Source organism: Homo sapiens, chromosome 3 (assembly GCF_000001405.40).
Source record: "Homo sapiens chromosome 3, GRCh38.p14 Primary Assembly".
NCBI classification, from domain to species: Eukaryota; Metazoa; Chordata; class Mammalia; order Primates; family Hominidae; genus Homo; species Homo sapiens.
This window is the reverse complement of record NC_000003.12, coordinates 126,083,918-126,108,307: the sequence shown is the minus strand read 5'-3', so window position 1 is coordinate 126,108,307 and position 24,390 is coordinate 126,083,918. Positions and strand designations below refer to the sequence as shown.

Below are 24,390 nucleotides of genomic sequence, written 5' to 3'. Positions count from 1 at the left end.
TGGGATGGGGCTGCCTTCTGGTGGCCCAATGACCAGGAGACCAGCTCTCAGGGTCTAGAGGGGACAGGGGAGAGTACAAGGTAGATGGGGAGGGGATGACAGAGGGGTGGTCAGCATGGCTCACATGCCCTGGCAGAAGTGGTGCAAGACTGTGGAGTAAACACAGGCCACATAAACCACTATGCATGTACATGAGTCACATTTTCAGAATTGTAATCAGTGTTAAAACATCATTTATGTATGTATGAAAAATATTGAACATTTTATTAAATAACTTTTTAACATGGTTTGAAATTTTCTATTTCTCTAAAAACTAGAGTGAGAAAATTCCCAGTCTCTTGATTATTCCTAAGTTAGGCAGGATTGAATCTCAGTGAGGTCAGGCAGGATTGACCTCAGTGCAGCAGGTCTTAGGGCTCTGTCTCTAGAGAAAACAGAGAGGAAGCATTTCAGTTGTCAGAAGTGCTTCTGCCCTGGCAACCAGGGCCTGTAGGGGCTGCATCCAGGGTTGGGAGTAGGTGGTCCCTTCTTGACTGGAGAGCATGGAGCTGGGCCTTGGTAGGGACCCTGGGAGGGCAGAGGGAGGAAGCCCCAGGAGGTCCCAGTGCCCAGAGCTCCTCCCCTCTCACCTCCTCCTACTCCACGGGTTGTAGCCACCAGGGTCAGTGGCAGAGCTGCCTGGGAGGTTTCACCTGCCAAAGAATCTAGGTGGTTTTAGATTAGCTGTCACCAGAAAAGCTCAAGTCTTTGCTTCGGCCATGGGTTCTGGCACTAGGATTGGATGGACTTGGGATCAGGTCTCAGCTCTGTCACCTGCCAACCGGCGGCCCCATTTCCCTCAACAGCACTCCGTTAAAAGCACGGTGAGACCCACATCAAAGAACAAGCCAGGTGGGAGAGCCATCTGCAGCGTGGTGACACCCATCACACGGGTGCCGTGACCCGGTGCTTATGTCGGGTCATCCGCAGGTGGCTGGTGTGGCCCAGGCCCTGCTGACGGAGAGGCTGGACCATCGGGCACCGTGTCTCCCATGTGCAACGGGCTTTTATCTCTCTTGCAGGGTTCTTCTTTGAGCCAACTGTTTTCACAGACGTGGAAGACCACATGTTCATAGCCAAGGAGGAGTCCTTCGGGCCTGTCATGATCATCTCTCGGTTTGCTGATGGGTAGGGAATCCTGCTGATGTCTCAAGGGCCCTGACTCTCTCCCACGTGTTACTGGGGTCTTCATGTGGGCTTTGGGAGGTAGTCTACGGGCAGTCAGGAGGAGAACTCAGGCAGGGCGCAAGCCGTGGACACCCCGCTTGTGCCGCCTGCTGAGTCTCCACACCCCTGAGAAGAGAGCCCAGTGACCTGGGGCTTTGAGTCCCCCCTGTGAGCAAAGGCAGCTCCCTTCCCTGTCCTTGTCACTTGTCACATGCTCCAGCATGTTTCTCACAGCCCGCTGGGCTCTGTTCTAAGGTCTGTTACCATGCATTAAACCACCCCCCACACTGAGTGGCTTGGAATAATCAGAGATTTATTTTAGTCACGGTCTAGGTTCAATGAGGCAAACCCATCTCTGCTCCATGCAGTGTCTGGCCTCAGCTGGGGTGACAGAGTGGCTATCCTGATGCTGCTGGGGGTCTTGCGGGAGGCTTCCTCCGCGTGGCAGCCTCGGGGTTGCCGAGGCACCTGGTTCCCTTCGGAGGCCAGGTGGAAGCCAAAAGGCTCTTTATAATCTAGCTCTTTAGAATCCCAGAGCATCCCTTCCACCACGGCCTGTTGATGAAGCAAGTCACCCAGACCAGGCTGGGCTGGAAGGGAAAAACTGTACTCCACTCACAGTGGGGCCACTGAGGCCCATGCTGTCACTTCTCAGGCCTGCCCCTTGTCTCCGTAGCACCTTGGAGCAAATTGCAAAATCGTGCCTCGTCCTCACATTTTACTATCCAACTACCAAAAAAACCCCAGAAATTATCATCGTATGTCAGTGGTATTAGAATAAGAGACTTCACTGCCACCTAGCCAATAAATATGGTTGTAGTAAGTCTCCAAATCGCTGATGTCTGGTGAATGCCCAACCTGCGGCGGGCACATGTGGGTCCTTCTGCATGTGAGGACCCAGCGGCCCCTCTCTGGGCCCCTGCTCCCAGTCTGTGGAATAAAGGGCTCACCCGATGATCCAGGAGCCCCTGTGGTGGCCACCTGCCCATGGGCCTCTGCCCTTCCTCCTCGCTCGCAGCCCAACCCAACCCAATCTTGCCCCCGGCGCTGCAGCCCGGCACATTTTCTCCTCGGAAGGTCTTATGCAGCTGGGGTGTGGAGTGGGCCGGGGTGTGGAGTGGGCCAGGCTCTCCTCTGCACCTCCCTCAGGGAGTTCTTCCTGGACTTTCTCTCCAGGGACTTGGATGCCGTGCTGTCTCGGGCCAATGCCACGGAATTTGGCCTGGCTTCTGGTGTCTTCACCAGGGACATCAACAAGGCCCTGTATGTCAGTGACAAGCTCCAGGCAGGCACTGTGTTTGTCAACACGTACAACAAGACCGACGTGGCCGCTCCCTTCGGAGGATTCAAACAGTCTGGATTTGGCAAAGATCTAGGTAACCTACTCCTGCCTGTGGGGTTGCTTTCATTTATTCATTCAACAAACATCTGTTCAAAACCACTTAGGGCCAGGTCCTATCTCAGATGCAGGGACGTAGCCTTGAACATGATGGCTGTCAGGGTTCGCTTCTTACTGGGAGGGAACTTGTGACAAGTCCGTGAGCAAGATGCTTGCAGAGGGGGGTCGTGCTGGGAAGAAGGCAAGAAGAGGGGCCTGGAGGAGACACTCCAGCCAGGAGGCACTGGGGGCCTCTCTGGTGTGGTGGCACCTGTGCTACCCAGACCTGCATAGCAGGGAGGAGTTGGCCATGAAGACCCAGGGGCCCGTGTTTCTGGCTGAGGGTTCAGCAGGTCCTTGGGGGAACCAGCTTTGGTCGTGGAGCTGCAGAGAGGCCAGAGTGGTGGGAGTGGGCCAAGGGGGAGCAGGAGGGAGGAGAGAAGGCCTGAGAGGCAGGTAGGGGCCAGATTGAAGGCCCATGGGCCATGGTCAGGGGCTCAGGTTGCATCCTTAGTGTAAAGAGGAGCCATGGGACCAAATGTACCCCCGGGTGAACACCACGGGTGTTGCAAGTCTCCCAGTAGAGGTGAAGTTACTCAGGCGGCAGCAGGCGGGGTCCACCGGCACATAGCAGGCGGGGTCCCCCGGCACACAGCACAGGCTCCCCAGTGCTCTGCCTGCTGGGTGGCATGGAGTTCTGCTCCGGCCCTCTCTCCCTGGGCTGCTCCAAGCCTTGGGCCTCGTCCTGCTCTCTCAGCAGGGGGGACTAGACAGGTCTGATGGGCAAGCTTGGCAAGGGTGGCTGGCAAGGTCCGGGGAAGCCATATGCTGTCTCAGAGGTCCCACCTGTCTCTCCAGGCTCCTGTGCCAGCCCAGAGACCACAGGGAAGGTCATGCTGAGGCTGGGGGTCAAAGGCTGGTCACTGTTTCCAGTTTTCTCTCCTCCCCCTGCCCCCATCTTTCAAGCCCTGCAGAAGCCCCCAAGGGTACCCATGAGAGGGGCCCATGTGTGCCCACAGGGCTGGACTCACATGCACGCATGTGTAGGCTGGACACTCCTGCTTCCTCTGTCCCTGTCGGCCTCCTCTTCCTGCCTTCTCCCAGGCCACCTTCCTGGTGTCCACCAGGGGAATCCATGAGGCCCATGGCCACCCAGGGAAGGCTGTGGCTGCCAAGTCCCCAGGACGTGATCTGGGCCCCTTATGAATCCTCCCCGAGTTCCCTCAGCTCCCTCCTAACCCTAGTCCCCATGTCCTGCTGAGAGGACCAGCACCCTCCTGGGACAGGCCCACAAGCCAAGCCTTCCAAGCAGCCTGCCTGGGCAGACTCAGGACCTCAGAGGGACGGGGCAGTGCCACTCCTGGGGCCAGCCAGAGCTGCTGGGGAGCTGTCAGGCAGCCCCAGGCCTCACACTTGTCATGGGGCTGAGATGCACCAGCCACATAGCACTGCCAAGGCCTGGGGCCTCAGGGCCCTGCGAGGCATCCCCTTTTCCCAGCCACAGCTTGATGCAGACGTAGCTGGGGGCAGCCATGAGAGAAGAGATGGGCCAGTGAGTCTGGGCAGTAACGCCAAGTCTCTCCACCCCCTTCCACCTGAAGGGGCTTCCCACTGTCCAGACAAGGCGGTGGGAGCTGGGGAAGATTCTTAAATGGCTGCCTCAGATTGGCTTTGTATTCTGGGGAGTCCTGGCCCACTATCCACTGCCAGGGATAACCTGGGTAAGATTCATGACCTCGCTGGGCCTCGACTTCTCACCTGGAAGTGGGGTGAGCCAGAGCTGCCCCCACGTGGTTGCTGAGGAATAAGACACTTGCAGCCCCGAGCAGTGCCCTGCCTGTGGTGGGAGCTGCTGTGACCTTTGTGGTGTCTTACAGGAGAGGCGGCTCTGAACGAGTACCTGCGGGTCAAGACAGTGACCTTCGAATACTGAAGAAAGGTCTTTGTGAGAAGAAAGTCCCTGCCCCTCCCTCGTGGCTGGGGCCCCCTCCCTCTTGAGCCTGGGTGCACAGCACCTCCCACCTGGGGGGCTAGTGGAAGCCCTCCTGCCTGCACACCATGTCTGCATCTTGGACGCCCTCTGTCCAGTCAGAAGCAGCCCTTGGCTGGGTGAGGTGTGCCCCTCCCAGGGAGAATAAAGCTTCTGAAGAGAGACCGTCCACATCTCTGCGTTTCTCTGCTCCACCTGTGGGTGTTCCTGGGTGGGCCTGGAAGTTGCGCAATCACCTGGGTATGATGGTGTTGCTTGGCCTGGGAGAGCCAGACACCTGGGGAGAGAGACAGGAGGAAATGGGTGTGGGTCATCTCAGGCCCCAAAGAGCAGAAGCTGCGACAGTCAGGGCTGCAGGAGGTTTGGAAGGGTAACCCCTGGGAAACAGGTGGGAAGACGGGGATTGAGCTGGGTGAGCCCTGGACTGGGAAGCAGCTCAGACTCCCTCAGCAGATGGGGCCGGGCCCTCGCCCCTGCTCTGTCAGCACGGCCGTGCTCTCAGCTGGTAGCCAGCCCGAGGGCCTGCAGTGGAGGGCTGGGCCCAGCTGGGAATGCCAGGCAGAGCTGTCTTCCGTCTGACACGGTGTCTCCTATGTACCTTTATGGCTTCTCCTTGGCCCAGGGACCTGAGCTATAGCTCTCTTTCCTGTGCCCTCTCCCTGTAGGAGCTTGCGGCCCTCCTCTCTGCACCCACATCCTATAGGCACCAAACACTGCAACCTGACCTACCTGCTGTTACCTCAGTTTCCCCACATGGAGCTCTCTTCTTAGCATCTCATCTCCCCACCCACCTGGCTCTGCCCCTCTGGGTCCCACAGGCCCACTGCAGGCCCCTCTGTCCCTCCCACAGGCCCAGGCCATGCTGAGAGCTCCAGGCCCAGCCTCTGCATGTCTGGGAACATCTTCAGGCCTCTCTGTGCGTCATGCTGCCCTTCAGAGGCCTGTGAGTTCCCCGTCTCCTCAGGGATTCCCTGCCCTGCTTTCCTTTATGATTCCTGCTCTTCTAGGAAGTGTGTGCTTCCATAAAGGCCTGTCCAGACCCCGCCTTTCGAAGGCTGCCAGCAGCAATAACAACAGGCAGTGCCAAGCTCCATACTGGCTACACTTCTGTCCCTTGAGCCCCAGCTCGATGCCAGGCAAGAATCCAAATCCTCCATGCATGTTTCTCTTGCTACTCATGATCCCAGGGAGGCAGGAGGTATTTTTATCAACATTTATAAATGAGGAAATGGAGGCAAAGAGACATCTAACTGCCCAAGGCTGCACAGCTACTGTGAAATTGTATTCCCCTTACTTCCCAAGTTAGGAGGACGTTGAAGCTCCCTCTGCCTGTAGAGGAACTCACCCCTCCCAGGTGCCGAGTCTCCCGGAATAGGCCTTGGCTGGGGGTGGCCTGGCAGAGGTGGCTGTGCTCCTGGGCACCCACACCCACCATAGGGGAGGCTCTACTCTCCCATGGCCACCCCACCAAAGCAGGCCTTGCTGGTGATGCCCCGTGCACTGCTGGAGTCAGGCTGAGCTCACAGGCCTTTCTAGAAGTCCAGGAGAAACCCACCAACTCCCACTCTGTGCAGTTCCTCAGAGCCTGAAGCCCAGGCCCAAGCCAGGCCCCCCGGGAGCCTCCTTTTTCCCACTTCCCACCTGCCTTCTGCGGCAGGGTCGGCTCAGACCCCGGCGTGCTCCTGGCATGTCCAGCCTCACATCTTGCTGCCTCCAGACAGAAAAGAATGTGCCTTCACTTCTGCTTAAAGCCTTCTGGGCTCTGTTCCTAGCTCAGAATTGGTCTTCTACCACAATGCCTGGTGCTGGAGATGGCAGCTTCCCGGAGAGAAGCTGTTCCCGTCCCTAGCGGTGGGACTTGCCCTAGCACGTGCCACTTATACCAGAACAGATGAGTCCATGTCAACTGCTTCCTGAGTTCCCTTTGTTCTGCCTCAAACACTACCAGGGCTGGGGTATCCACGGCAGCATCCAAGCACATGCAGCTGCCTCTCAGCCCACAGCCAGGCCGCTCACACTCCTCCCAACAAGAGGTGGAAGCCAGCCTGGTGTCTCCATAGGGTCAGTCCTGGCTTCCCCGTAAACATCCTTCGTGACAGAAGAGCAGGCAAAGCCTCGAGCACAGGCCCATCCAACTCAAACAGAGCCAGGAAGTGCCTCTCCCTGCTTTTCAGACACAAACAGAGCTTGGTTTTAGCCAGGGCGCCCACTGCAGTCACGCTGGAGACCTCTGGTGCAGATGGGCGAGACTGGACCCAGCTTTCCAGCTTTCTTCCCCTTTCCATAATTCTCCTGAAAGTGTAAGGTAAGGACATAAGACTTCGTTATCCCCCAATTTCCTTTCTTTGTCCCCTTCTTTCTTAAGTCATATAACCTCTGCATTTTACCTGGGCACACGGCTGCCCAGAAGAAAGGCTGGATTTCCCAGCATACTTTGCACTAAGTGTTGGTCATGGAACCAAGTTCTAGTCAACAGGATCTGGCTGCAAATGATCTGTGCGGTTTCCAACATGCACCCTGAAGGGGGGTCATGCTGTTGCCCTCCTTTCCCTCCCCGGGCTGGCTGGAAGCAGACCCAGTGACACGGCGATGGGCATTGCCCAACCCCGCGGATGTGGGCAGCACTTGGACCCGGGGGAAGGAGGGGTGTGCGGCTGCCCGCGATGGAGGAAGCCGAGTCCAACATCATGGAGGCTCATCTCCCCCGGGGCGACTCACTGCCAGGCTATTCTGTGGGAAATAAGCTTTTATAAGCTTTTGTGGCCTTTGAGAACGTTTATGTCTCGCCATGTTAACAGAAGCATTTAAGGTGGTTTAGAAGTATAATAAACAAAAATATGCATGAGTGAACGGGGGCTGAGAGGAAAGTGGTGGTGAGTCAAACCCGGAGTGTGGTTGTATCCAGACTGCAGGCTGTGAAACTGCATACCCTTCTAAAGCTGGGCCACAATTCAGCTCAGAGCTTTCTGGCTGCTGAGAGTGCAAGGACACCTGACTGGTGACCTCATTCACGGTGTCCAGATGCCAGAAACAAATTAGTGTTTCTGCTTCCCATAGAGATAACTGCTTCTCATAGAGATAGTAATCCATCTCATGAATCCTCCTTAAAAATGTTTTATAATATAATGACTGCCGTCTTATGTGACTTCATATGGTGGCAAGTTGCACACAGCTGTTTCTTATGACCTTCCCCAGTGTGACTGAATGCACATTAAACCTCCGCCACTACCAGCAGCTCACCAGGGCAGGGAGTGTGTGCATGGGGTGGCAGCACGCTGGATCCAGGGCTCTAGTGCTCTGCTGATCTGACTTCATCCAACTGGGATAGGGTGAGGAAGTGGAATTCACCAGAAGTCTTTCCAGAGAGAGCTTTGCATTTACCTAGAACATTCTGATGTGGTGAAGCTGGGGCGGTGGGACATTCAGAATCAAAGGCTGGCCACAGACTTGCTCCAGGTAATAAAGGGAAGGAGAATCCTAAGGGAGGTGGAAAAGAGAGGAGGGCCCGGTACGTGGCAAGAGGGGGAGGGAGGGGGAAGAGGACCCTCCGTGGCAGAGTGGAGACCTGTCTTTGGGGAGAATACGGGAGTATGTAATGAAAATTCCCTTCCTTTTCTCCCCTCCAAAATCAACAGTTCCTCTTTGTTCCCTGTTCTTTGTGGGAATGACCCCTTTTGGGCAAGCTCAAAGAGGAGTTGATTTCTTTAGCTACAGAGACACAAACAGGAACAGACTGCAGAGCAAAGCCCACCACATCAGGTTGGACTGCACATCCATTAGGCATCCTCCACAAAGGCCGCTATTCCCTCTGCCAACCCACAGTGGACATGAGTAGGACCAAGAAATTAATCCTTGCTGTCATAAGCTACTGAGAGCTCAGGGCTGTGTTGATGGCCACAGTGACAGACTCTGGGTATCAGTTATAACGCAGTTATAAAGTTTTGGAGCAACCAAAACAGCAAACAGTAGAGGAAGAGTTAAAACAATGATTCCCAACCTTAACTACCTGAATATCTTCATTCTACCCTCTTTATTTATTTATTTAGATAGTCTCTGTCACTCATGGAGTGTAGTGGCGCAATCTCAGCACACTGCAACTTCCCCCTCTCGGGTTCAAGCGATTCTCCTGCCTCAGCCTCCCGAGTAGCTGAGACTACAGGTGCCTGGCTAATTTTTGTATTTTTAGTAGAGACGGGGTTTCACCATGTTGGCCAGACTGGTCTCAAACTCCTGACCTCAAGTGATCCACCCGCCTTGGCCACCCAAAGTGCTGGGATTATGGGCGTGAGTCACCACACCTGGCCTCATTCTACCCTCTTTAAATCCTCTAATGAAATTCACAGATCATATTACCAACACATTATCTAAATGATATTAATATATTGCCGTCACTTTAAATGAGAAATAAAGAATAGAAATTTTAAAATAAGATAATCCATGCTTCACCAGGTAGATGGTGGGAAAGTTCCAGTTGCTCCCGGGCTCTGGAGCACTAACTTGAATTCAGATTTTACTCACAGGAGCTCAGAACCTGAGATTCAATTGCAAAGTAGCTGAGGGCTAATCAGATCTGTCCTGGGTTGCCTTCTGCACTGCCTCGTGGTCACAAAAGGCTCCAAGCATGGACTTTAAAAATATTATGAGAAAACATACTTAACATAAAATTTGGCCAGGCACAGTGGCTCATGTCCGTAATCCCAGCACTTTGGGAGGCTGAGGCGGGTGGATCACTTTGAGCTCAGGAGTTGGGGCAACATGGCAAAACCTCGTCTCTACAAAAAAATACAAAAAAAAAAAAAAAAAAAAAAGCCAGGTCATGTCCATCCCTCCTGGAGCAGCTGTCAAGAGAAGTCAGGGCTTGGCCAGCCCACCACTGGGGCCTGTTCCCAGAGGGCCACCTGCCAGCAGTGGAGGGGAAAATGGAGGCCAGCCCTGGACTAAGGCTGCTGGCACCAACCTGGAATCCATTTGGGAAAGATGGAGACTGGCTGGGAACACCAGCTGGACACTGTGGTGGCAGGGTGACAGTGACAAATTGGAACAGTCATGAGGGAAGGTGTGGGCAGGGCCAGGCCTGCCTGGATGCCCATGTCAAGCTCACAGTCAAGCCCTCCCTATTCCTCAGACCTCCCCCGTGGTCCATCTGGGAGCTGGGAATCCTTCCTTCCTTAGAGATTAGTCCCATCAGGGTTTTAGTAACAATAATAAACATAACAGCAGGAAACACTATTGACCTCACTACATGTGAGGCGCCATACTGTTATAGCAGCTCATTGCAAAATACCATGGCCCAGGGGCTTAAACAATACACTTATTTTCTCACAGTTCTGGAGGCTGGAAGTCTGAGGTTAAGGTGCCGACAGGATTCTGTCTGATGAGGCCTCTCTCCCTGTCTTGCAGATGGTAACCTTCTTGCTGGTGTACTTGTGCAGAGGGAGGTCTCCCCTATCTCTTTCCCATCTCTTCTAAGGACTCCAGTCCTACTGGATTAGAGCCCCACCTTATAACCTCACTGAATCTTTACTATCTCCTGATAAGCCCTATCTCCACATAGAGTCACATTGGGGGCTAGCAATTCAACATATGAATTTGCAGGGACCCAATTCAATCCTAATAGCTCCTAACATTGTATGAGACTTTATTATTTACCAATATATCTTATGTCTATCCTATCTTTAGTTTCCACTGAAAACTGCAGTTTCAGCATAGCAGCTCTTTGCCAAGCTACTCACTGCTTAGACTCCAGCCAGGCCTCTGGATTCCTGAACTAGCATTTGCAAGTGCTCTGTGTAAGGGGGAGACAGAGGGGCATGAACTAGTCTACAGGAACTGGTACACACTGCCTCCCACTTACCAAGGTCCCAAGAAGTGGATCCTGTGTGCTGGTGTGGTGACTGCCCTTTGGAGCTTGGCTGCAATGCTTGGTTGCCTCCTTTTCTAGAATGCTCCCATTTTCCCCGTGCTTTCTCCTTGACTGAGGCCAGCTGCTGGTTGCTGTTTGTCATTTTACTTTGCCAGTTTATTTTTCATGCATTAGAGTTAGGAAGAAAATAGTGTCTTGTACCCATAACTCTATGAAAACCAGACAGGCCCAGCTCAAAATTTATAGAGCCCAGGGCAAAAGTACAAGTGAGGGTCCACAAACCATATATCTAAATATTTCATGATTATTGTAAGCCAAAAATAAAATTATAAGTCTCCCAACCAATTGAATGTGTTACAGATAGTTAGGCATGAGCGGGGTAGGATAGGGCTCCCCCTTAATCCACTGAAAATGTTGGGTGGTGGTTCGGCAATTACTGAATTGCCTCTCTAAGAATGCTAATTTCACAGCGCCAGGGAGAGGCCATTTCCTGGTAGTCCACACCTGTTAACAGCAAAATGTTAATTGAATGCAGGCCCCAGGGAGAAGCAACTTCCTGGGCATGCATGTTAAGAGGCAAAACATGGTGAAGTATGATCTTCCGGGGGCACACTCCACTGGAAAAAGGAAGAAAGCCTCAGATGGGCCTGTGTATAACTCCCTAAACACACCACACATGCTCAATTCTAAAAGGTAAGGAAAGCACTGGGCATGAGGAAAACCCACCCTCAGGGAGGAATCATGGGAAAGAAGGGAGCTTATAAAAGTCCTAGGATCATGGTCAAACATGACCTTCTCTCTTTAGCCTTCACGTGCTTGCTCGGGTCTCTTCCAAGCACACCTTCCTTTCATTCCTGTTCTAAGACTTCTTAAATAAACTTCCATTCCTTTTCTGGAACTTGCCTCAGTCTCTTTTTCTGCTCTATGCCCCTCAGTTGAATTCTTTCTTCCGAGGAGGGAAGGACTGAAGTTGCTGAGGACCTGCCAAGACCAGCTCAGTTGGGGAGACCCTAACCCAGCAGCATTAGAGGAATTACACACACACAGAAATACAGAGGTGTGAAGTGGGAAATCAGGGGTCTCACAGCCTTGAGAGCTGAAAGCCCTGAACAGAGATTTACCCACGTATTTATTAACAGCAAGCCAGTCATTAGCATTGTTTCTATAGATATTAGATTAACTAAAAGTATCCCTTATGGGAAACGAAGGGATGGGCCAGAATAAAGGGGTGGGTCTGGCTAGTTATCTGTAGCAGGAACATGCCCTTAAGGCACAGATTGCTCATGCTATCGTTTGTGGTTTAAGAACGCCTTTAAGCAGTTTTCCACCCTGGGCAGGCCAGGTGTTCCTTGCCCTCATTCTGGTAAACCCACAACCTTCCAGTGTGGGCGTTATGGCCATCATGAACACATCACAGTGCCACAGAGATTTTGTTTATGGCCAGTTTTGGGGCCAGTTTATGGCCATGTTTTTTTTTGGGGTGGGGGGGCTGTTCCCAACATGTCCCCCTTTTTTGATTTGCAAATTGATAAAAGCAAAGGCACCTTTGTCACGGTGAGCTACTTCTCATAGGAGTCAGGATCCGCATCTGCAGACTATACAAAGAAAAACAACAACACAGATTAAAAGCATAATAATCATTGAAATCACAGAGCCTCCAAGTGTTTTTATCCATTTTAATGGGTTACTAGCTGCTAATCTGTCTGCAGCTCCTTCAAGCACTCCAGTTCTTGGCATTAAGGTCAGGTGTGCCTGGGATGCTTTAAATATTTGTTTTTTTAATTTTGCAATATCCAAAAACAAGTTTGTAGAGTGTCCTTCTAGATGCTTTTCTATTCTTTCCCAAATTTTGATCTTATTAAAAGCTATTAATAGTTTCCACAAAATCTTATGTTAGCTCCTACAACAAGCCATATCATTTGAGGTTGAGGTGCCACTATACTGCCATGGTTCCAGATAATAGGAACTCTTGTCATACTTTTTATCATTTCTACCATCTGACCGTTTTGTTCAGACCATCTGAACATAGTGTGGCCATGGCATGCAGACTCAGAGGTGCAATTCAAGCTAAATATCCCCTTAGGGGACCAATTAATAATGATTCCATAGGAATCGTTGTGCAGCACCTCTGCCTGTTCTGCAATGCAATCTTCCTAAACAAGTACGTTCATTTTCTGGCCAGGTTCAATTTTGTTTACAAATAGGTTTTTGAGGGCTGTATGCCTCAATTATAGGAACAGATTTATTATGGTAAATACTGAGATCAGAAAGCATGTGTAACTGTGTCATAGAGTGATTACATCCAGGCATTATTGCCAGCCAAGATTGATAAATATGCCCAATAAGTATAATTGTTCTCTGTGTCAGCCCTTGTTGAAGGAATACTCACGGCAATGGTGATCATCACTATCGTAGCTACTATTAAATTACTCATTGTGACTGGCTGTCTCGCTTTCCTTAGGTTTTCTTCTGCCATCTGTGACAGCTTCTTGATCTGTCCTCCGGTGGGTGGTTGTGTTCAACAGGTGTTGCTTGTGACAGTTGGGGTCCTCCTGAGCATCAGCCTCAACACGGCTGCAACAGGGGGTCCTTGGGATCCTCCTGGAATCTCTTCCTTGGCATCTGGCTCATGATAAGGTTTCAGGTGTCTTGATGGTATCCAAATCGGCTGTTGATTTTGGCCTGGAGAGACATAAGCATAACCTCTACCCCAAGTTATTATTTTACCTATTTCCCAATTTTTTGTTATTGGATCTCACCACCAAATCAGTTGTTCTGCTTCTGGCTTTGCAGCTGGTTTCTGTAGATGCTATTCAGCTACTGATAACATCTGGCCTTTGGGCAGGCTCAAAAAATTTAAAGTTAATAATGCTAGATTCAATTGTGTATGGGCTGTCCCAAATCCCTGTTTCTCCCCCTTTTTTGTTTTTATTATCAATTGTTCATCTGTATGAAATTGTAACTGAGCATTTTCAATTAACTGTGTGGAATGAACCACGTATGAAGAATCAGAAATCACATTAATAGGCATATCAAAAACAGTCAATACCTTAATTACAGCTACAAGCTTTGCTTTTTATAGGGAGTCTGGAAAACTTTACTTTTCGAGCCAGAATAAGAAGCTTTACCATTATTAGACCCATCTGTGAAACAATGAAAATGCTTAGCAGGCTGCAGGTTGTTTACTGCAGGAATTATAAATGCAAACTGTTCACAGTCTTGCTCAGCTAAAGGGATAGTAAAGAAACAGTCTTTTAAATCTATGAGTATTAAAGGCCATTTTTTTGGAATTACAGCAGGAGAAGACAATCCTGGCTGTAATGTTCCCATAGGTTGTATAACTGAATTGATGGCTCTTAAGTCAGTTAACATTCTCCATTTACCTGATTTTTTTCTTAATTACGAAAACTGGAGAATTCCAAGGCGAAAATGTTGGAGCTATGTGCCCATTTCCTAATTGTTCAGTAACTAATTTCTCTAAAGCCTCCAGTTTCTCTTTACTTAGTGGCCATTGTTCTATCCAAATTGGCTTATCTGTTAACCATTTTAAAGGTATAGGTTCTGGAGGCTTAACAATGGCCGCCATCAAGAATGATATCCTAATCTTTGGTGGGAACTTTGTCTTTCCACTTGAAGCAGTTCTTTCAAATCTTGCAAACTTTTTTCTAGTCCCATACCAGGGACATACCCCATTTCATGCATCATATGTTGACTTTGAGGGCTATATAATTGTTCTGGAATTAGAACTTGTGCTCCCCATTGTTGTAATAAATCTCTCCCCTATAAATTTATAGGTACAGAAGTTATAATTGGTTGAATGGTCCCAGGTTGTCCATCAGGCCCTTCACAATGCAAAATATAACTACTTTGATATACTTCAAGGGCTTTGCCAACTCTAACTATGTTAAATTGAGCAGGTTGAATTGGCCACGCAGACGGCCAGTGCTGTAGAGAAATGATCGAAATGTCCACTCCTGTATCTACCAAATCTTTAAATTTCTTTCCCTGAATAGTTATTTCACATGTAGGATGTTTATCAGTAATTTGATTTACCCATTAAGCTGCTTTGCCTTCTTTATTTGTGTTTCCAAATCCTCCTGTTCATTTAATTTCACTTTTTCCCATTCCCACATATGGCACAATCAGGAGCTGTGCTATGTGCTCTCCTGGCTCTGCTTTCCAGGGAACAGAAGTAGATATAACAATTTGAATTTCCCCATTGTAATCTAAATCAATGACTCCTGTTTGTATTTGTACCCCTTTTAAATTTAAACTAGACCTTCCTAAAAGTAATCCTATTGTCCCTGATGGCAAGGGTCCACAGACTCCTGTTGGGACCTTTTGTGGGGGTTCCCCAGGCAGAAGGCTCACAGCTTTTGTACAGCATAAATCTACTGCAGCACTACCGGCTGTGGTAGGGGAAAGACATTGTACAGGGGTGAGGGAATGGCCTGAGCTGGAAATGCCCTGGTTTGGAATGGGGCCCAGGACAGGCCCCTCATGGCATTTCCCAAAATCGGGTTCCCATCTTTATCAAACCTAGAGTTACACTGATTAGCCCAATGTTTTCCTTTTTTATATTTTGGACATATTTCAGACTCAGCAGTTTTCTTTTTTCCCCTATCTGGCAGCCTGACTCGCTGATTATTTCTACATTCTTTTTTAGTATGAATAGCTTGTTTAAATTCTTTGAGTAATTTAAAAGGAAAAGGCTCAAATGTAGCTATATTTCCCTGTTGATCTGGAGGGTGTATTCTAACAGGGAACTGCCAAGCCTCTATATCACCCTCTCTTCTAGCTTGCTGGATTCTTGCCTAAATAGAACTGAAAGCGGTCGCTTGAGGTGCTGCTCGAACAGTCACTGGGGCAACTACTTTTCACCCAGTATCCTGCAGAAAAGAAAGATCTGGAGGGTCTTTTTCTTCAAAATAATAAGCAGGGGGTGCAGAAGGGTAGGGATGAACCTCTCCCTCCTTTGCTGCTTTAGCTTTAGCTGGCAAACAAACCTGCTCTGTAACCTCTACTGTTACTTCGTTACACTCTCCTTCTTCCTCATCATCAGTGTGAAAAAGTTCCAAGGTGGAATGAACCAGACTCCACACTTGTCCCATTGTTACCCTGATGCTTCTGAGCTCCCCTTCTTACTCACCATGGGGATTGCTTTAAGAGTACTCGGGTGTCCTCCAGCTTAGTTCTCCACGTTCTCCAACCGTCACTCTGGCAACCCTTCAACCTGGATTTGAGCCCCCACAATGGACGCCACTTGCCGTGACCAGCTCAGTCGGGGAGACTCTAACCCAGCGGCGCTGGAGGAATTAAACACACACACACACACAAATATAGAGGTGTGAAGTGGGAAATCAGGGGTCTCACAGCCTTCAGAGCTGAGAGCCCCGAACACAGATTTACCCACGTATTTATTAGCAGCAAGCCAGTCATTAGCATTGTTTCTATAGATATATTAACTAAAAGTATCCCTTATGGGAAATGAAGGGATGGGCCGAAATAAAGGGGTAGGTCTGGCTAGTTATCTGCAGCAGGAACATGCCCTTAAGGCACAGATTGCTCATGCTATTGTTTGTGGTTTAAGAAGGCCTTTAAATGGTTTTCCACCCTGGGTGGGCCAGGTGTTCCTTGCCCTCATTCCGGTAAACCCACAACCTTCCAGTGTGGGCGTTATGGCCATCAAAAGCATGTCACAGTGCTGCAGAGATTTTGTTTATGGCCACTTTTGGGGCCAGTTTATGGCCAGGTTTTGGGGGGCCTGTTCCCAGCAGGACCAGTATAAATTTGCTGCCAGTAACTCAGGGTAACTCAGATCTCTTTCATGGGTAACAAATGGATCCCTCCTCTTGGCCAAGGACCTGAAATTAACCTGAAAAAGTAGTTCAGGCCATGATGGGGAAGGAGGAGAGTTGGATGTGCCTCATTATACACCCCTCTGTTTGGATTCAGGCACAGCTGACCAGCATTAACATCAACACAAAGACCTTCAGATTGACAGAGCAGACTCTTTGTAGCAATAAGACACCAACATGACAGATAGCAGGCCATAAAATAAATCAAAGTATTTTACCCCCAAATGTATTTCTTTGACATATTTTGAAGTGGCCCTGCAAAGCTGTCTCTAGTGAGGAAATCTACATTCTGTAGAGAATCCCCTTCCCTTTCCATGTCTTTTTCCTGATCCAGGAAAGAATTAACTAAGAGTCTGACAACTTTTTAAGTCTGATAAGAAACATTTACAATCTACTCTCTCTGAAGCCTGCTACCTGGAGGCTTCATCTGCATAAAAAAACCTTGGCCTCCACAACCCCTATTTCAACCTAGACACTCCCTTCTGTTGATTCCAGGTCTTCAGATAAACTTTTTCAACCAATTTCCAGTCAGGACGTCTTTGAATTCACCTGTGACCTGGAAGCCTCTCCCTCCACCCCGACCCCTCCTGCCCACTTCCAGTTGTCTCTCCTTTCTGGGCCTGACCAATGTAAATCTTTCATGTGTTGTCTTTTGTTTCCCTAAAATGTATAAAACCAAGCTGTAGCCAGACCACCTAAGGCACACGTTCTCAGGACCTCCTGAGGCTGTGTCATGAGCATGTCTTTAACCTTGGCAAAATAAGCTTCTAACTGATTGAGACCTGTCTCAGATACTTTTTGGTCTACATTATAAATAAAACCAAACAACTGTAAAATGGAGTCTATCTTCTGGCCTTGACAAATGTACCTTCATAGAGATCTGTAAGGCCAAGTTCAAATGTAGACTTCTTGGACTCCTTGGAGTTCCATGTGGCCCTGTGAGAAGAGACAGCAATGCCCCAACCTGCCTTTGTAGGTGTGTGCTGATCTGGGCACACATCCTAGAAGGGGATTGGAGCCACTGGACCTCTCAGGTCCTAGGCAGCTGGGGTACCATGCAGAGGCTCCCAGAGAACATGGCCCCTCACTCCATGACAAGCAGGGGATAAAGGCCGGAAGAGGGCATCTTCGTATCTGTTATTGACTTGGAGGGTTTGACCTTGACTTAATTTTATCCCTCAAAATTGGCCCTTACAATCTCACATGCCCCACTCTTCCTCAATAGCTGCTAGGCCTAGAGGGAGGGTGCTTTTATAGTTTCAGCAGCAGAGCATTTGTAGTGAAACAGGTCTGGGCCCAGTGGGATGCTAAACGAGGGACTCATCTCTGGCCTTCAGAATACCATGATTTTGGTTTCCTTGGAAGTAAAACAAGGAGAGAGAAATAACATTTATAGTTTGACAATTATAAGAGTAATTTGTGTGTCAGAACAGAAAAAGGAGCCTATTCAATTAGGGCACCAATTAAAAATATGAAGAAAAATTATAACCTGGTACTCTCTATAGGATTATTGTAGCCAAGAAATAATTCATGATTTAATCTACACTTTAAAAAACAAAAATTATGGTCAAAATCTACTGCCAAGTGTTACACTTTTCCTTTAAAACCATTTTTTAGCTCCTTTCTTTTCTACTAAAGAGAAATTATAGTAAGACCAATTTCTGTGTAAAGTAAGTTCTAGGCTCATTATACTTGTCCTGATTATTTGCATAAAATTCAGCAAAAATTGATTAGCCACATAGGCTCCTTCTAAGTTGGCTTTGCTGGAACTTTACCTAAAAATATACTATTTTAGTTAAAGTCTTTGTACATTAACCATTGTCTCCAACTGTTCTGTTTTAAAAGACTTTTATTGAACTTACACAAATAACTATATTGTCATAAAACCACAATCCAGATTTTGGAGAACTTAGAGAGAAAGGTACATTTGCTTAAAAAACATACTTCACTCAAATAACTAAAAAAAAAAAAAAAAAAAAAAAAAGATTTTCTTGACCTTCTTTAACTAGAGCAGCATCTTTTAAATGAGATGTCTATTTACCTCGGAAATACCATTCACAAGCCAAGCAGCTCATGAGAGCTGTCTATCAGGCACTGTGGAATCCAGCAACTCCTCCCAGAGTTAGAATTAGTCCTAAGAAAGGGCTCCTTGTTTATCAGTATCTCCTCCTTATATTCCCAGGTAGCAAGATTCTATGTAAACCATTTTTATTTTATTATGGAACTCTTTTGGGCACCATTGTTTCCATTAACATAGGGATAGCTTCAATTAACATTCCAGATTAAGGCAGTAAATGGCCCTCAACTGGAAATTCTCTAGTTTAGTTTTTGTCATTGGGAAGTACTCAGTCTTTTGCCATCAGCCCCAGTAAATGTTCCACAAACGATATGAAGTGGAGGATTTGTCCTGACTAGTATTCCAGCTTCTACCCTATAGTATGTGGGTTCAGAAAACCTTACTAGTTCCCATTTGGTGTGTCCAATTTCTCAAAAGAGCAGATTTACATGCCCTTAGTTTTATAGCACTAGAAAGGGGAAACATCCCTCAGTCAAATGCAGTACCCATTTTCATAAGACATTTAGGTAAAAGGTGTTACAACTACCTTACATAAAGTTTGTTTAAACATCTTACATTTCATTATTTTATTAACCTGTATGTTTTTATGTCCTGGTCCCAGGAACCTTTTTCTACCCCAAGACCATTTTACCTTTTCTGGTGAAAAAAGGTTTGGGTTCCTAGCAGCAAGCTGCATCTGCAAAACTCATGAGGGATAGCAAATTTGATAAGGCTTCTCAAGCAGTCGTTATGATTCTGTGGGAGGGGCAACCATGTAAAAGGGACCCCCTCAACCCCCAAATTTACCATGACTTCGGTAATAGGCATATTTGGTGGAAGGATATACCAGTTATCCTAAATCCAGTTATATGGCTTGCACATGAAGCATATTAACTGCTTCATCTGAGGTGCTTGTTTCACTTGGTATTTTATACAGAGAGCTGGGCAGTCCCCTTCTCAGGGCAACCAGACATTATGGTGGCATTTATCTGGTCCACTAGACTAACTGTTCTCTCAGGAATGACCTCTTCTGCATTTGGATCATATATACTCATTAGTGATTGTTCAATAGTGAGCTGTGGGGTGCTGCATCAACCCAAACAAGCTCTTAATTTCTGTAGCATTTAAAATTAAGGATTTTGTCCTTAAAGTGGTTATTTTTACAATCCGCTATACATTTTTTTAAGAAGCTGATGATACAAATCTACAAAATGAAACAATTTCTTTATATTATACCCTCTGGTTTTAAATAGTTTTGCCCTTCCCCCACATTGACTATCTTTTTGATAGCCACAGGTCTGAGTTAACTTTTGTTGCTCTGGCTTAATTGTTCTATTTAGTTTTATCTGTATATATTTTTTTCTTCATTCTAAAGCAACTCTTAAGTAGTTTTTTAACTAGCGAAGAAAAACCTACTTTCCTTTTCTGGCAAAATCAACATCCTTGTGTTTTATAAACTTCACCAAAAACATATTTTATGCTCCTATTTTAACTTTTAGTAATTCAAAATTTCCAGTGATAAAAACTGAGGTTTTAACATGACTTTAAGATTTTAAATTACTAGAGAGTTTTGAGATTAAATTTGCCAAATTACTTTTACCAAAGATTACCAAGATCATGTGAATTAAAAGTCATCTGAGCTAGCATCTACCAATCTGATAAGCACTTACATTTTTAAAGTTACTAGGTTAGAGCTCTTTCATGTAGTTTGGTAGTGAAATATCACTTCCACATGACACAGATAAAGATATAACAGGCATGCAGAATTAAAAGGTCTACAAGATCTAATTTTATTGGCCTGTTTTCAAAAAAAAATTATCTCCCTTCAGATAATTTTGTTAATTATCCTATAACTATTATTAAGTTACAGGAACCAACAAAAGGTGAAGGAGAGATCTATTATCTAAGGCCATTTCAAAAGAGAAAGAGCTGAGCTTGTGAGATATCAATCTGCAGAATGTCAAAGAGACAGATTATAGAGTTTATAAATTTAAAACTTATTACATTAAAAATAAGTCAATATTTGTAATAAAATACTGTTTTAGCCAATTATTTAGTTTTGTATTAGTGTATTTTTTAAATATCAAAGACCCATCTCTAGAAAGACTACTATAATTTCTTCTTAATCATAGCCAACTGCATTATACAATCTTTTTTTTTTTAAACAAATTCCTTTTACTAACCTTATTACAACTTACATAGACCATTCACAACATGCTTAAATTTTCTGTTCTGTCCTAAATATCTTTCTTGAACAACCTAGTCATTTTATTTTAGGACAAAAATTCGCTACACAAGATTCTTTCTTATATAGTATCACTTTCCTTTTTACCTTCTTTACCAAAAATTACCTCTTTATGTCTTATGTTTCTCTACATCTCTTATTTCCTAGTTCCTTTTACCTTGTTTTATACATAACCTTTAAATAAGCTTTGAATTAGAAAAAGATATTTACCATTTAAAAAAAAGTTTTTCTATAATTTTTAAATTGGAAATTACCCAGATACTTAATACTTATTAATAACCTGAGGTCCTAAATTATATGACGTTTGTTTACAAACACTTATTCCATTACCTTTACCTGATTAATTTATTTGTTTACCTGGATTATTAACAAAAACTGTGACAGTCATTATTGAAGTTATTTCCCTGTTAACCATTTTTATAGCTGTGAATTTCAGGTGTTTACTTCAATAATGAACTTATGATTAAATATAAGAGTATTTTTTCCAGTAACTCATGATTTAGCTGTTTTCATTAAACCAACCATATTCCATGTCTTATTTATCAAAAATTATACAAGCAAAGATCATTCTGTCTTGGGCTGGGTTTTATAGTTTTATAACCCTATGGCTAATCTTATAGTATTCTGAAGGAATAAGCATGAAGCTACTTGATCAATAAATGCAAACAAAAATACTAACAATTCTTAGAACATTTTAATTTTTTTTACCAATGATTTTAAAGACAGTTTATTTATTAAATATTTTACTTGTCACGTGAACTTGAAAAGCATTGATTAGTATTTTTTGATCAAGTATTTAAGTGCTTTTATTTTTACTTAAGCTAATTAGAGCTCTTTTACATATTTTTAGTAGTGACACATTGTGTACACAACACATAAATGCATAGCGTATTAGGCATGGCAATAGAAGTACATCTTATGTATTTGTAAGACCTCTTTTTCCCTTAGACTTTTAAATTCATGATAGCCTGTTTCATCACCCTGGGCAGTTGTCAGCTAAATAGTCCTACATTTGCATATTAAAGGAAACAACTCTTAGGTGAAAAATCAGATAGCAAAATTTACATCTCAAAGTACCAAGAGACAGTCTGGTTTGCTAGAGGGAAATTAAAATGGATTTAATTTGCCATTTAAACAAAATTATAGAAGTCTATTATAAAATCCTTTTAAATACACACACACACACACACACACACACACACACACACACACAGATCCTATAGCTTTTACTTCAGAACTTTAGCCATGAGATAAATACAAATTCCCCAGCTTGCAAAAAAAAAAAAAAAAAAAAAAAAAAAAACAAGAAAACAAAGAAAAAGAAAAATAGGTTAGATCCAAACAGTGGTTTTTAATTTCAGTACAAAAGTAAAAGCAGATTTAAAGCAGGCAGAAAATATAGAGAAGAAGAGAACTTAGGAACTCTATAGTGTACAGGTTGACCTTAGGGCTCTTTTCCTTAATGTAAATGTGCACAAGGATCATTATATTTCCATTTTACATAAGCTCTGGCAAGTAGACGCACCATAAAACCAACAGAGTGCCCGAAATGAGGTCATTCTCCTTGTTTTCTCCTCATTCTTAGATCATTTGTTTCCCACCTTTTTTTTTCTTAGAAGTAGGAACTGAGCTGTGGCCTAGGGTTTTTGTGTGGTGGATCAATGTGTGCTGCTTGTGGGCAGGACCCCACCATGTGTCACCACTGAGTTGTTTCCACCCTGTTACATGTCTCAGTTTCTCTCTCCAGAGGTCTATTACCTTTGAGAGGGCTCAAAATGATGGGTGATCAGTCCTTATATGCATTCCTGGACAAGCCATTTTTAAAATTAATTTTTGTTGGGGATTTCCCCATAGGGCTGCTGCATGTCACAGGATGTCAACCCCCCCCCAGACACTCCCACAAGGCCCCCAGTCACCCAGGAGCACGTTTTGGCTGGGAGGAGCAAATGCCTTTCTCTTTGGAGTTGAGAAAACTCAGTCTCTCATTTACCTATGAAAACAACAGTTCAATTCCTCACACAAATGCGCAGACAAGCCGAATCAAGATTAATTTTGGGAGAAAAAGCAATAAAGAAAACCCTTTAGAATGTGTCTCTGAACTAGAATTAGAATCCTTAAACAACAACTTCCTAGGAGAAAAACCAGCTCACACTAAACGAAGGACTGTCAACCAAAGGGCGATCTGGGGCTCAGGAGAACTTAACCAGTTCCATCGGGGGAGAAGCTAGAAGTCTGGGAGGCTTCAATGGGCCCCACTGGTATCTTCGCTCCGAGTTCAGGCAACTCCTTTGGGGTCCTGAGTCTTCTCTGAGGCCCCACGCTGGGTGCCAAATTATTGTGGAAGAGTCAAACTCTGTAAAATATTTGAAGAGATTTATTGTGAGCCAAATATGAGTGACCACAGCCAGTGACACAGCCTTCAGGAGGTCTTGAGAACATGTGCCCAAGGAGGTCGGGGTGCAGCTTGGTTTAATACATTCTGAGGAGGCATGAGACTTCAAGTTAAGTTCATTTAAGAAATAAATTTGTTTGATCCAGAAAGGCAGGAAAACTCAAAGAGGGGGAGGGTGGTTCTAGGGTATAGGTCAACTTAAACATTTTCTGGTTGACAATTGGTTGAGTTTGTCCAAAGACCTGGGATTAAAGAAAGGAATGTCTGGGTTAAGAGGTTGTGGAGACCAATGTGTTTTATCACGCAGATGAAGTATTCGGATAGGGTAGCAGGCTTCAGAGAGAAGAGGCTGTAAAATGTTTCTTATCAGACTTAAAGTCTGTGTTGATGTTAATGCAGGAGAGGGATAATGAGGCATGTTCGGCCTCCACTTCCCCTTATGGCCTGAACCAGTTTTTCAGGTTAAATTCTAAAAGTCCTGGCTGAGGAAGAAGTCCATTCGGATGATTTGGTGGTTGGGAACGGGGAGGTGCCTTATCATTTATTTTTTGGTTTAAAATATAATGATATATTTTACCAAGTCTTGTGAACCATCAGGCCTCCCTCAGGCCCGGACTGGGAATTGCCAATTTCGTTAGGTGTGACCGTAATACTATGAGAATGTTTAAAAAAATAGGCCTTACTGATTAAACATACTCGAGTATTTAAAGGAGAATTTATCCACTGGGATGCTTTAAAATTACTCTGGGAAAAAAGGGAAAACGAAAGGCATGTGTGGGGTGAAGCACAGACTTGTCGTTGTTGTTTTTAAAGCAAAAGGCGGGTCCCAAGGGAAGTTGGCTGTCGGTGGGTTCCCGTTCTCCGTACCTTTCTACCTTGACAGCTCCATAATAAAACCTGCAGCCGCATAGGCGCCTCTCCCGTAGCGCTCCCGCGGGGGCGCCAGTGGGGCCCCAGCTGCGAGGAGGGCCCGGGCTCGCGAGACTCGGTCCCCCACTTCCGTCCCCGCGATCCCCGGCTCCCAGCCCCCCGGGCCCCCGGCGGGGCTCTGCGCTGCCGGAGCTTGGGCGTCTGCTGCTGTCCCGGAGCGCCAAGTCGTCCGAGGTCCGGCCGCCCGGCCGGGGCGGGGCCAGGGAGGCCCGGCCTTCCCGCTTCCTGCCTGAGCCGCAGGCCCGCCCCTGCGTCCTCCGCCCGCCTCTTTCCCGCCGCCGCCTGGGAGGGGACCCGGTAAGCGCGGCCCTGTTCCGGGCGGGGTTGGGGCGGAAGGTGGGGTCAGCTGGGGCCCAAGGGGGGTCGGGGAGGCGCGCGGGAGAGGGCGCCCGGGAGTGGGTGCGCGGGAGGCGAGTGAGCCGGGCGCCGGGCCCTGGGGGCTCGGCGGGAGGGGGAGTCAGGTGGGGACCGG

At 46.7% G+C, this 24,390-nt stretch overlaps 2 protein-coding genes and 1 long non-coding RNA gene across 32 annotated transcripts in view, besides 4 other annotated features; 2 read left to right on the top strand and 1 right to left on the bottom strand.

The window, feature by feature from the left end:
• The window catches only part of ALDH1L1 (aldehyde dehydrogenase 1 family member L1), a 94,376-nt gene extending 89,638 nt beyond the window's left edge, over nucleotides 1–4,738 (top strand). For all 9 annotated transcript variants that reach the window (NR_072979.2, XM_024453325.2, XM_011512355.2 and 6 more), the window contains 3 exons: nucleotides 1,062–1,167; nucleotides 2,383–2,582; nucleotides 4,462–4,738. Coding sequence is in view for 8 of the 9 variants with exons in the window: in XM_024453325.2 (XP_024309093.1) it covers nucleotides 1,062–1,167; nucleotides 2,383–2,582; nucleotides 4,462–4,517 (362 nt within the window). In the remaining variant the exon portion in view is untranslated. The remainder of the gene's footprint in view (nucleotides 1–1,061; nucleotides 1,168–2,382; nucleotides 2,583–4,461) is intronic.
• On the bottom strand, nucleotides 238–24,093 carry ALDH1L1-AS1 (ALDH1L1 antisense RNA 1). 2 transcript variants are annotated; one of them, NR_190231.1, is made up of 8 exons: nucleotides 23,856–24,093; nucleotides 15,587–15,743; nucleotides 12,827–13,119; nucleotides 11,982–12,032; nucleotides 4,642–4,851; nucleotides 4,343–4,484; nucleotides 3,616–3,697; nucleotides 238–2,775 (listed from the first exon to the last, which is right to left on the bottom strand). It is a non-coding gene; the product is annotated as an ALDH1L1 antisense RNA 1 (long non-coding RNA). The 2 variants fall into 2 exon arrangements; NR_189119.1 differs by lacking the exons at nucleotides 238–2,775; nucleotides 3,616–3,697; nucleotides 4,343–4,484; ... (2 more) ...; nucleotides 12,827–13,119; nucleotides 15,587–15,743 and adding an exon at nucleotides 21,928–22,949.
• Nucleotides 4,247–5,068: an enhancer, noted in NCBI's record as "H3K4me1 hESC enhancer chr3:125822083-125822904 (GRCh37/hg19 assembly coordinates)". NCBI's record gives its function as "activates a minimal SCP1, AML or CMV promoter by ChIP-STARR-seq in primed H9 embryonic stem cells {active_cell/tissue: H9 hESC(primed)}" and the evidence as "EXISTENCE:reporter gene assay evidence [ECO:0000049][PMID:30033119]".
• The window catches only part of SLC41A3 (solute carrier family 41 member 3), a 95,164-nt gene continuing 77,561 nt past the window's right edge, over nucleotides 6,788–24,390 (top strand). For 6 of the 21 annotated variants that reach the window (NM_001008486.2, XM_017006708.1, NM_001008485.2 and 3 more), the window contains exon 1: nucleotides 24,184–24,215. The gene's annotated coding sequence lies outside the window, so the exon portion shown is untranslated. Of the gene's footprint in view, nucleotides 6,880–24,183; nucleotides 24,380–24,390 lie in introns of those variants that run through there. The other 15 variants (XM_047448409.1, XM_006713681.4, XM_024453609.2 and 12 more) reach the window with 8 other exon arrangements.
• Nucleotides 7,173–7,362: an enhancer, noted in NCBI's record as "active region_20436". NCBI's record gives its function as "activates an Ori minimal core promoter by ATAC-STARR-seq in GM12878 lymphoblastoid cells {active_cell/tissue: GM12878}" and the evidence as "EXISTENCE:reporter gene assay evidence [ECO:0000049][PMID:35858748]".
• Nucleotides 7,373–7,422: an enhancer, noted in NCBI's record as "active region_20435". NCBI's record gives its function as "activates an Ori minimal core promoter by ATAC-STARR-seq in GM12878 lymphoblastoid cells {active_cell/tissue: GM12878}" and the evidence as "EXISTENCE:reporter gene assay evidence [ECO:0000049][PMID:35858748]".
• Nucleotides 23,837–24,386: a silencer, noted in NCBI's record as "silent region_14673". NCBI's record gives its function as "represses an Ori minimal core promoter by ATAC-STARR-seq in GM12878 lymphoblastoid cells {active_cell/tissue: GM12878}" and the evidence as "EXISTENCE:reporter gene assay evidence [ECO:0000049][PMID:35858748]".